The 13016-nt window shown below is 34.7% G+C and overlaps 1 protein-coding gene across 7 annotated transcripts in view; it reads right to left on the bottom strand.

Moving 5' to 3' along the window:
• The window catches only part of OTOGL (otogelin like), a 281344-nt gene that overhangs the window by 14711 nt on the left and 253617 nt on the right, over positions 1–13016 (bottom strand). For all 7 annotated transcript variants that reach the window (NM_001368062.3, NM_001378610.3, NM_001378609.3 and 4 more), the window contains 7 exons: positions 12660–12845; positions 10222–10434; positions 9650–9754; positions 9256–9363; positions 7821–7922; positions 7395–7499; positions 7270–7310 (listed from right to left, as the gene is read on the bottom strand). In NM_001368062.3, coding sequence (NP_001354991.2) covers positions 7270–7310; positions 7395–7499; positions 7821–7922; positions 9256–9363; positions 9650–9754; positions 10222–10434; positions 12660–12845 — 860 coding nt within the window. The remainder of the gene's footprint in view (positions 1–7269; positions 7311–7394; positions 7500–7820; positions 7923–9255; positions 9364–9649; positions 9755–10221; positions 10435–12659; positions 12846–13016) is intronic.

The following is a 13016-nucleotide window of genomic DNA, read 5'->3' as shown; positions in this document are numbered from 1 at the left end:
CTTACTAACTTTTTGATTTAGGGCACATTACTTAATCAATCTGCTCCTCACTTCCCTTATCTGCAATATGGGGATAATAATACAGCCTGCCTCTTAGGATTGTTGAGAGAAATAAATGGATCAATATATGTAAAGAGTTCAGAATAGGACTGACACACAGAAAGTCCTGTAGAGCATTTTGCTGTTAGTACATTGTTACTATGACAGATGCTCAAACTTTGCCCTATCAGGACTGACAAAGATTCTTCCCACCAAATACAGGACCAGGCTTAAAGTTTCAAGAATTGTGTCTAAAGCATCAACTTTTCCTGGATGCATTTAGTTTTCATATGACATCAGTAATAAAATGAATTTTATTCTTGACATAAATAAATGATTCCAATACATTCACATAAAAGGCATTTTTCCTCATAAGCTAATAATGTCTTGCTTTTTATAGTGCCTTGTAAGTTGTAAAGTAGTCTTATGGACACTAATTCATTTGATATTTCAGGACTTTAGTCATTAGACAATTCCAATGGGACTGGAAATAAATGTTAGAATAATGGAGCTAAAAATAATAATAAATCGAATTCTTCCAGTGCATGACTACTCCAAATACTTTAAAAAGATGGCATTAGGCTTACACTAACTCTTTTAGGTAACATATGTACCTGTTTTTTAATAGTTAAAGCCATAATGTTAACTCTGTTTCCTTGAGCTTAGGCTTAAATCTTCTATCCTTCTCTTCTATGCTCATTTCCTTTCAGATCTTATCCACGTATTCAATTATGCTTTTATTCTAAGTTGCAAATTTGACCAAAAGGAAATACCTCTTTAATTGCTCTACCAATTCTAAATATTTACCTGAAAAAATATGGTAATTTTTACTCCCAAATGAACATCCCTCTCCTGTAAAGTCTGCAACAAAATCACTTTAGGCTGCTTCCACTTTGGGTTATTATGAAGAGTGCTGCTATGAACATTCGAGTATAAGTTTTTATGTGGACATATGTTTTCATTTCTCATCAGTACATATTTAGGAGTGAAATTGTTGTGTTATATAATAACTCCATGTTTACCTTTCTGAGTAATAGCCAAGGTGTTTTCCAAAGCAGCTGCACAATTTTACACTGCCACCAGTAGTGTATAAGGGTTTCCATTTCTCCACAGCCTTGTAAATGTGTTATTTTTTGTCTTTTTAGTGAGTTAATATAATGGGTTAATATACATGGAGGGTTATTTATATTCAGGCAAGATGTGAAGTGGTATCTCACTATAGTTCTGATTTGTATTTAAATGATACTTAACGATGTTAAGCATCTTCTCATGTGCTGTTGGTCATCTTGGATAAATGTCCAAGATAAATATCCAAATGTTGACATTTGGATAAATGTCAAGGTATATCCATACAATGGAATATTATTAACAACAAAGGACTGAAGTAGTGACACATGCAGCAACACGGATTAACCTTCAAAATATTATGCTAAGTAAAAAGAGCCAGACACAAAGACCACATATTATACAATTCTCTTTATAGGAAATACCAAGAACAGAAATACATGGAGAGACAGAAAGTAGAGTAGAGATTTCTGAGGGCTGGAGAGTTTGGAGAGAAATGAGGAACGACTGCAATAGGTACAGGGTTTCTTTTTGGATTGATGAAATTCTTCTAAAATTGATTGTGTTGATGGTTGTGCAACTCAGTGAATATACTAAAAGCCATTGAACTGTACACTTTAAATGGATGTATTGTATGTTATGTGAATTTAATTCAATAAAGTTATTATTTTAAAAAAATGCAAAGGCCTAACATACATTTTTCAGGTTGAAACACATTCGTCTATGTGAACAAACTAATGTGATATTTTTTAAAATCACCTTAGTCACTGAAACAAACATTAGCCACTATTCAGAGTGAGTACTCAGGAACAATGAGTCAGATAAATGCTTGTGTAAAGCCACGAATGTTAAAACTAGATCATCATGGATGAAGGGTTATGTATATTTGGGTAAGATGTTCAAGGATATTAAAGCTACTAGTTACGTTCTGTGTGTCTAGCACAATGCTAATAATATAAAAGTCATTTTAAAATTCTTGGAATACTGAATATCAAAATATGATTCATAATTAATATTCAGACATTGAGGGTTGAGTTGGAAATAAGCTAGATGGGCCAGCATCTAGCACAAATGCTGGGGAGGGAAAACACAAGAAAAGAGAAAGTAGAGACTGGTAGAAATCCACTTGGGAAAAAATAAATAAATAAATAAAAAACAGAGCTAAGGTCACAACCAGACCAAGGTTAATGTATGAACATAGAGACTGCTACTCCAAAAAGCTTCAAAGCATCTAGAACACAGGAAGTATAAAATCCCATAGGAGGAAAGGCTAGGTTTTTCTTGTTACATTGGAAGTTGTTGAAATGACTCAAGATGCTATTTTGCTTTTTCCAGGCCAAAAAAATAAGAGGAGCTCTGAATGAGGCTGGTTACAAGTCAAATACCAGGACCTCTACTCTCAGCTGCTCCACTGGCCATTGTAATGTTTGTCCAAGGACCTAGTAATCTTGGATTCTTGGTGTGCAAGACTTGAAACCTTCAAGTTTTTAAATCAATTTCTCTCTCTCTCTTTCTCTCTCTCTTCCCACTCCCCAACCCCCAACACATTTGTTCAACTTGTTACAAAAGGCCAGTCTTTCATTTTGCCCTCCTAAATTCACACCAACCTCACAATAGTGAAGATGTTCATTCGTAAATGGCTATACCAGTCTCTTTGCTGATCTCCTGCCCTCTAATGTTTTAGTGCTCATATCCTGCTATGCACAAATAGAAACATCTCCCTCAAACACCATTTTCATCATGATTTTCATCCTATACAGGACTCTTTCCATCTCCTATCATATAAAATTTGCACAGAGCTCCTCAGGGTAGGATTGTGTTTTTTCAAGTGTCTGGCATGATGACTGCCCATAACTTATCTTCAACAAATGTTGGTTGAAGAAATAAATGAAAATAATAATTGAATAAATAAAATCTGAATTCCTCAGCCTTGCCTTTAAAGCCCTCTTGGCCAGGTGCAGTGGCTCACACCTCTAATGCTAGCACTTTGGGAGGCCAAGGCGGGAGGATCACTTGAGCCTAGGAGTTCAATGATGCTATGATTGTGCCACTGCATTTCAGTCTAAGCAACAGAGACAGACTCTGTCTCTAGAAAATAAAAATAAAAAATAAAACCCTCCCCAAATATACCAATTTGTATAGATTTTTATATCTCATTCTTCCTTCAGTTAGCTATTTCTCTAGGTGAGAGAGAGGGTTTTATGGTCATTATTTTTCAGCATACATCTATTACCTCATAGCTTTGTGAATTTACTTCCGTTTCTATTAGCCCCTGTCCGAAATAGTTCAACTGCTTTCATCCATTATTGTTAACCTATCACATTCTTCCAAGCTTTTCTTGATGGTTGCCATCTCTGGAAACTTCTTCATAATGATCTCTATAATGTGATTAACATTCTGAGCATCATGTTTAATTTGTAATCAAATATAACAAAATAATTTAAGAAATTAAGTTTTAATGTGCTCCCCAAATTTTATTGTTAAGATATCTATACTACTCAAATTGCTCTACAGATTCAATGCAACCTTGTCAAAATTCCAGTGACATTTTTTACAGAGATAGATAAAACAATCCTCAAATTTGCTTAAAACCACAAAAGACACCAAATAGCCAAAGCAATCTTGAGCAAAAAGAACACAGCTGGCAGCATCATGTTACCTGACTTCAAAATGTACTACAAAGCTGCAGTAATCAAAACAGCATGGTACCAGCATAAAAACAGACACATAGACCAATAAAACAGAATAGAGAATCCAGAAATCAATCCATGAATTATGGCCAATTAATTTTTGACAAAGTTACCAAGAACAAACAACAGGAAAAGGATAGTCTATTCAATAAATGATGTTGGAACAATTGCATTTCCGCATGCAGACAAATTATATTAGACCATTATCTCACACAACATACAAAAATTAACTCCAAGGGGATTAAAGACTTAACTGTAATTCTTGAAACTATAAAACCACTAGAAGAAAATATAGAGGAAAAGCTCCAGGATATTGGTCTCAGCAATGATTTTTTTGGCTGTGAACCCAAATGTAGAGACAACAAAAGAAAAATGGACAAATGGGAGTATAGCAAGCTAATAAGCTTCTGCACAGCAAAGGAAACAATCAACAGAGTGAAGAGACAACCTATAGAGTGAGAGAATATATTTGAAAACTATACATCAAATAATGGGTTAATATCCAAAATATGTAAAGAACTCAAACAACTCAATATCAAGAAAAACAAATAAGCTGATTTTTAAAATGGGCAAAGGGCCTGAATAGGCATTTTACAAAAGAAAACATATAAATGGCCAAGAAGTATATTTTAAAATGCTTAATATTAGTAATCAGGGAAATGCAAATTAAATCCATAATGAAATATCACCTCATACCTGTTAGAATGGTCATTATCAAGAAGACAAAAGATAGCAAGTGTTTGTGAAGATGCAGAAAAAGAAACCCTGCATGCTGTTGGTGGGAATGTAAATTAGCATAGTCATTATGAAAAACAGTATATATGTTCCTCAAAAAATTAAAAATAGAATTACTATATGATCCAGCAATTCCACTACTGGGTATATATCCAAAAGAAATAAAATCACTATATCGTAGAGATATCTGCACTCCCATGTTTACTGCAGCACTATTCACAATAGCCAAGATATGGAATCAACCCAAGTGTCCACCAAAGGATGAATGGATAAAGAAAATGTGGTATATATACACAATGCAATACCATACAGCCTTGAAAAAGAAGAAAGTCCTGTCATTTGAGACAACATGGATGAACCTGGAGGACATTATGTTAAATGGAATAAGCCAAGCCCAGAAAGACAAATACCACATAATCTCATTTATATGCAGAATCTAAAAAAGTTGAACTCACAGAAGGTAGGGAGTATAATGGTGGTTACCAGGGCTGAGGGTGGGGGAGCAGGGTTTGAGGACATGTTGGCCAAAGGATGCAAAATTTCAGTTAGATAGGAGAAATAAGTTCAAGAGATCTATTATAAAACATAATGACAATCATTAGTAACAATGTATTGTATTTTTAAAAATTGTTAAGATAATAGATTCTGTGTTCTCATCACAAAAAAATGATGTCGTGAGGTAATGCATGTGTTAATTAACTCAATTTAGCTATTCCATAATGTATATATATTTTGAATTAACATGTACATAATAAATATATACAATATTTGTCCATTTTAAAAATAAATAAATAAAAAATAAAATTAAACACAAAGATTGTATACTGGTTCTAGTTTGCCTTTAGAAAACCTGTGTGTCCCAGCCAGGCGCGGTGGCTCACACCTGTAATCCCAGCATTTTGGGAGTCCAAGGCGAGCAGATCACGAGGTAAGGAGATTGAAACCATCCTGGCCAACATGGTGAAACCCCGTCTCTACTAAAACACAAAAAATTAGCTGGGCGTGGTGGCACACGCCTGCAGTCCCAGCTACTCAGGAGGCTGAGGCAGGGGAATCACTTGAAGCCGGGAGGCAGAGGTTGCGGTGAGCAGAGATCACACCACTGCACTCCAGCCTGGTGACAGAGCAAGACAAGAAAGAAAGGAGAGTGAGAGGGAGAGAGGGAGAGAGAGGAGAGAGAGGGAAAGAGCGAGGGGGGGGAGGGGGAGAGAGGGGGAGAAAAGGGGAGCGGGGAGAGACAGGGAGAGAGGGGGAGAGAGAGGGGGAGAGAGGGGGAGTGAGAGGGAGAGAGGGAGTGAGAGAAACAAACCAACCTATGTGTCCCAGAAAAAAGATAGAAAGTAGAAAAGGGCTAGGTCAGACTTGTAAAGGGAAAAAAAATTAAGAAATTTACGTTTTAATGTGTCAAAAAAACTAATACTTATAACTAATACTGATTGAGCCCTTTCTATATGTCAGACACTAAGCATTTAAATTATATTAATTTATTTACTGCCTAAGTGAGCCACAGCTAGAGAAAGGTAGAAACAAGGCAGTCTCACATTCTCTTTCATTCTTGTTTCAAGTTGTGCCTTGGCTACATTTTCTAAGGGAAATAAAGAGTTAAGGCAAAGTAGAAAGAATAAGGAATATGCAAACATACACACACAAAAAGCAATCCTTGGTTAGAACCCTGAAAAGCTTAGCCAATAATTTATTCCCTTAGACCTCATCTTTCTCACTTATAAAATGAGCTAAAGTGCTGACTTGGTAAAGATTCAATAAGATAGTATACTGAATATGTTATGTAACTGTGAAGGACTAGAGAAATACATGGCATCATAATTCTACTCTTGTGTAGATGTATATACAGTGTACACACAAAATAATCAAATGACAGAATTATTATGAAAGTTATTTGTAAAGTTTAAACATTCTCTGTAAACCATAGATGAAAGCATCATTAAAGCAAATGTTGGATTAATGCTTTTTAAATAAAACAGTGTCATCCTAGGAAGGGTTCTTTTACTTTAAAAAGTACCTCATTCATTCTTCATAATATAGCTTTGAACTGGAGATTCTGAAAGAATTCTCTAAGTGTACACATTGTTTGAGAAGGAAAAGAAAAGTAAAATGTCTTTGTGAAATAAAACGTTGTCTTCTCTAATAAATAGCGCCAGGAATATATTGTCTTTCTCAAGCCTTATCGGCATATCATGAAGATAGTTAAAGAAAACAAAGACTTGTAAAGTACCACGGGATACATTTAAGGATTAAATAAGTGACACCAGAGTTATCCTAGTTATTTCTAAAAATTAAATATTTGAAATTTCTATAAGGTTTACATGTTCGCAGATAACGCTTAAGAAGAAACAGGCTGTTCCATGTTTATACCCCCTTCTCCTCTACAACAGAGGCATTATTAGCTCACTTTCTTAAAGAATCATTAGCAACACCACTCAATATTAAGATAATTTTTTTCAATATTTTGCTTCATTTTAATACAGGGAACTGAAGTAGATATAAGATTAGCAGATTCTATCAGCAGTTAAAAAATAATGTATTGTACTTTCCTATCTCAACTAAAATATAACTTATTGACTATTTCCTAATATCAGAGCACATTATTTTAATCTACTTTAGTACAATTTAATGTGGGTAATTTTATTAACTCTAAGAAGAATTTAGAAATGAGAGAGATAAAGGAAGAATAAACAGATTTAAATAAATATGACAAGTCAATCAAAATATGTGTTCTTACCACTTCACAAGTTGGCATAATAAGGTTTTCACAGTTACATTCTAAAAGGCAAAAATCAACATATTTACATTGATCAAAATAATTAACTTATTATAATGAAACCTTAAAATATGAAAATTAGTTACCACAGTGCCATGTTGGGCAACATTGACCAGATACATTTTCTTTCACAAGATTCATATCTTCTGCACAGTTGAGTAATGGCATAGGACAAAGGTTTGGTTCACATACTAAAAAGAAAAATTACATGGGTAAAGATGAATTTTATAGAGTTGCCATTTCTCATTACCTACCATTTAGTTCACTGCCATTACAATAATGCATGGATTCATATTTCCCAAGTGCTACCTCTCCCACCGTCAGATTGCCATGTGTTGGTGAAGATAAAACAATTGACATATAAACAGGTACAAAAAGAGTACTGGTGCTAGGATAGCTCATCAAATGAAAAACTTTGAAAAAGGGTCTGATGTAACAGCCAACTAAGATGCACTGGGCTTCTTAAACATTGGACACATCTAAATATTTTAGAATAGTTAATATACACTTACCACAGTAATACTGAGGACAACAGAAGTGTGTGCTATTAAGATCTACTGTGAGAAATTCCCCATCATGACATAGTGGAACAGGTTTGGTGCAAGATTCACAAACTAAGGTAAAACAAGAAGCCAAAAATCACAGCTGAGCTAAAAACCATGAATTATAATATGAGTTTAAATTACCATACACAAATCAAATCAATTTTGTTTAAGAAAATAGTAAAAGAAACATGAGGTATATTTCCTTATTTGGCCATAAAAACAATAATACTGTCTGAGTATATTGCCTTATGCTTTCCAAGCACAGTGACATATAGAACACCATCTTACCAGAAAGGTAGAACATTCAGATTTCCTAGGTAATTTGTTCTCATTAGAATCAAAATGTCACTTGTTTATTTATTATATTTATGTTTTCTTAATTCACTATCATTGATTACTCTCATTTAGGGATGAAAATGTAGTAGGCGTTTGTTCTTTTGGGCTGCTTCAACATGCCGTCCCACCTTTGATAACTAGTCTCTGAATGACCTTGAGGAAATGCACCACCCACACCTTTTTGAGTGACTATCTTTAAAGGTGCCTCAACCAGGCCACTCTGTAGAAACAACCCACATAGGAGTAATCGGAATCCCTTTGGATGGAATTTGAGTCATATATAGAGACATATCAACTGAAGAAAAAAATAAAGTTGGCTCAATCATTAGTGACTTCTACCTAGAACAGCTGGTTTCTCTTCTTCCTAGGGCTTGACTGTTCTGCTTCATTTTGGTCCTACTTCCCCAGATTCTTCCAATAACAGGTTGTGCTAAAGCTAGCCAGAATCCATCAGTTTTGCCACTTGCAGTCAATGAATCTTAACTGATGCAAAGAAATTGTTTTGATTACTTCTGAAACCTACATTAATCACCAAGCAATCTTGGATATAATGATTCATTTGAAAAAAAAAATTAGAGAATTCTTTATATTTCAATATTCAGTTCACCAGGCAGAATATTTAGCTCCAGTCATTTTCCAGTCACTCTTTCTTTCTGCCATTCTTTTTTGAGATCATCATACCTCAAACATGATATACAGGACATGAAGTTTTAAAGACGTCCTATGAAGTCTTAGCAGAGCCCATTATTCAAGTTGGTTCTTCAAGGAAAGCCAGTGCTAAATTTTTCTTCGAAAAAAGGTATTGGCCTTATTTAAAAAGCTTGATTTAAATATCTTGGTCATATTTGGACTGATGTATGTAGTTTTTGTTGATGGGGGAAGGTATTTATTATTATTGTCTAGTCATTTAAAATGTCATACTTTCTTTACAAGAGTTCTCATTCAGTTGAATTCTTATAACATCAGAATATTGCTTGCCATCAGTCTCATAAAATTCACATCAAATAAGAGATTTTTTTCCTAGATCCTTTCTCTTCTTCCAAGAAATTATCTCTACAATACTCACCACAAAAAGGGGAAAAACAACAAGGTTCTTCCTGTCGAACTTGAATCATGAATTGATCTTCTCTGCATTCTGGTGTTGAAATACTGGGGCATTTCAATGGGTCACATTCTGCAGAAACAAAATTACATTAGAAAATTTGTATAGCATAATAAAAAAATGACATAGTGTTTACCTCTCTTTGAATTTAGTAATAAATAACTTATTTTAAAGTTCTTAATCATATATATATATACATATATATGAAAGATATATACCAGGTTTAAAAAATTAGCAAGACAAGTCCGCAATCTTTTATAATAAATCATTCTCTTGGAGACACAATGAATGAGAATCTAATTCACTGTTCTGAATGAACAATGAACCTCACTCTTAATTTTCTATATTGATTACTTACCACATTTGTACTGTGGACAGCAAGAAAGAGGACTGTGGCCAACAATCAATTTTTGACTATTTGTACATGTTGGAATGCTAGTTTCACACAAAGTCGTGTCACATCCTATAAATAAGAAAAACTGTTAAAATATTAGTGAACACAACTAAAATCTGCCAACTCAAAGCAGGGAAATGACTGCCAACTCAAGACAGGAAACTCAAAGACGGGAAATGACTCTCATTATGCATGTTTTTACACTGCAGTTAACCCACTCATCTAACAAAGTGGGCCATATATGAAAATGCAGCAGCTTTGACATTTTTCTATTATTGTCTTTCACCCTTGATTCATACATCAAAGATTTCCAGATCTTTCCTCTTCTCATGTTTTGTTGAGTGTTATTAACTGTGAATAGCCAGAGTTTTTCATGTGTATTCAACAGAATTGTAATGAAACAAAACTTGCTTTGAGAAAATGACATTTATGGCCCTTTTTTAAAAATACAAAGCATTATATATGCTCTGCTTTTTCACAAAGAATATCAACATATTTTGTGGAATCAATTGACTATAAGGCTTCTGCATACATACCACAAACTTCCTTTGAACAGCAGGTCCATTTATCAATGATGCCCATGACAACTTCAGCTTCTCGTTCACAAACTGGCGTGGGCTCTTCATCACAGTCAGGTTCTATAGGGATAATGCTTCCATTCTCCAAACATTTGTATAGAGTGCATTCATCAATGCCCCCATTCCAAATCTCCCCAGCAGTGCGGGGTTGGTCTTCACTATCAGTGCATGCTTAAAAAGATCAACAGTATTATAACACTCAAAACCTGGGCACTAAAATAAATCATGCCACCATGTTTTGGTTTCAGACTGTGACATGGCCCAGTGACATAATGATGTGTCACAAGTCTATTGTTTTTCTCAGATTTCTCTTTCATCACCACTAACTTACATTTTTCTTTAATGAAAGTTTATACTTAGTCCACAGAAAATATTTTTTTCCTGGTCAGATGCAGTGGCTCGTGCCTATAATCCCAGCAGTTTGGGAGGCTGAGGAGGGAGGACTGCTTCAGGCCAGGAGTTTGAGACTAGCCTGGGCAACAGAGTAAGACCTTGTCTCTACCAAAAAGAAAAATAATTAGCGAAGTGTAGTGGCATGCCTGTAGTCCCAGCTACTCAGGAAGCTAAGGTGGGAGGATCACTGGAGGCCCAGAGTTTGAGGTCTCAGTGAGCTATGACCACTGTACTCAAGCCTGTGCAACAGAGTAGATCCTGTCTCAAAAAAAAAAAAAAAAAAAGAAAAGAAAGAAAGAAAGAAAAGAAAAAAGTAAAAGAAAAATTTCTTTCCTTTTACAACCATCTGTAAATCTGTATGTCTTCTTCTATAAATGAAATGATCTATTATTTTTGACACATTTTAAGTCCTGTTAATATAATTTATTTAGCCTAATCAAATTCAATAATATAAATTTAAATTAGTTTGAAAACAGTAACTGTTAAAAATGAGTGGGATGAGAAAACAAGGTAGTCCCTACCTCATATAACATTTACATCATATGAAAATTCAAAATATTTCTGCTTTAAAATCTAAAAGTAAAAAGTAGGCAATCAGGCAAAATATTATGTAGTGACTATTACTTTTAAGTAAAAGTTTTATTTTATGATAAATATGACCATCTAGTAGTTCTTTTAAGGAATAATAATGATAAATGTATTTATCAACCATATCCCCAGCCTCCAGTGAACTCTTATCCTATTTGCTATCAAACCAAATCTCATAGATCTCTAAAGAACAAATATAAGCACATGTGTATATTCTCAAAGTCTTCCACAGATACTTTCTATATTGGCAAACACTGGCTTGTTTCTGAAACTATATATGCATTTCACTTCTCCTTGCCTTTTTCTTTAATTATTAGTCAATTCATTTTCTTTTGATCGTAATGAAGAGGCCTATGACTGACAATTCCTGTGTTGCAATCATCTCAATTTTGCACTTTTTCATCTGCCACCACCATGGAGACAATGCATCAAAATAACATTGTTCGAAAATATAATTACAAATACTAGATGTGTTCCTCCAGTATCTTAGTCCATTTTGTGTTGCTCTAAGAGAATACCTGAAAATGGATAGTTTATAAAGAAAAGAGGTTCATTTAATCACACTTCTGCTGGCTGGGAAGTTCAAGGGGCATGGCGCCAGCATCTACTGAGCTTCCAGTGAGGGTTTTTCTCCTGCCTTGTACTATGGCAGAAGGTCAAAGAAGTGGACAGATGTGAAGAGGAATAAAATATGAAGAGGAAACTCCCTTTATAACAATCTGTACTTTAGGGAAAGATTCCATTTCTGCTAGAACTAATCTAGTCTCACAAGAGCAATAACTCACTCACAACCTTGAGAAGGCATTATCTATTGATGAGGGCAGTGGCCCCATGATCCAGACACCTCCCACTAGGCCACACCTCCCAGCACTGCCACACGGAGGATCGAACCTCAACATGAGTTTTGGTGGGAACAAATCACATCCAAATCATAGTACCCAGATAATAGTACCATCTGCCATTTCTTACATGCTTACTTTCTCAAGGCACCATGTCAAATGCAAAATGCTTTCTACTAAATTATGTAGCCCCACACTAACCTTATAAGTACTATTATTTTCCTCACTTTCCAGATGCATAACCTGAGACTCATAGGAGTAAAAATGAACAACTAATACATGAATTAAGTTGATTTTGAGTTCAGTCCATAATCCACACTCTTAATTCTTGATTTCCCATGCTTTTTCTCAGTTACTATGGGCAGATATAAAGATTAAAACATATTACCACTGAAGCTTTTGTAACAATTAACTTCTCTTGAAATCATATTAAAATCAAACTACAAACAAACTCATTTCCTTTCCAACAGAGGCTGTCTTTGATAAACCTTTGTTAGCACATCTCTGCAATATCTAAAAAATGTTTTTGTTTGTTTGCCGGATTCCTGAGAAGTCATTTTGTACTTTGTGTCTTACCACACTCTTTCTCTGGAATGCACTGGGCTGAATGTGGCCTGTGAAGAATAGTTCCAACTTTGCACACACAGTCTTCTCTTAGATTCAAACAGGAAGTGTGTCCATAGAACCATTGGTTCAGGCATGTTCTTGCTTCACAAGGTCGCACACAGGGTTGATATTCCTTCCCCTCTGGGCAACTCAGGGCTTTGAAGAATAGGAGACAAAATTTGCTAATGATAAAAGTAACTTATTTAAATTCTAGTAAAAGAAAGAAATGTCAGATTTCTTTTAGAAAATATATTTTGCAAATTTTAGTCTCTTCAAAGTCCATTTTTCACTTACTCTGTAACCATAAATCAGAAACAAAGGCATCAA

This window comes from Homo sapiens, chromosome 12 (genome assembly GCF_000001405.40).
Source record: "Homo sapiens chromosome 12, GRCh38.p14 Primary Assembly".
In the NCBI taxonomy this organism is placed as follows: Eukaryota; Metazoa; Chordata; class Mammalia; order Primates; family Hominidae; genus Homo; species Homo sapiens.
This window is presented reverse-complemented; position numbering and strand designations above follow the sequence as displayed.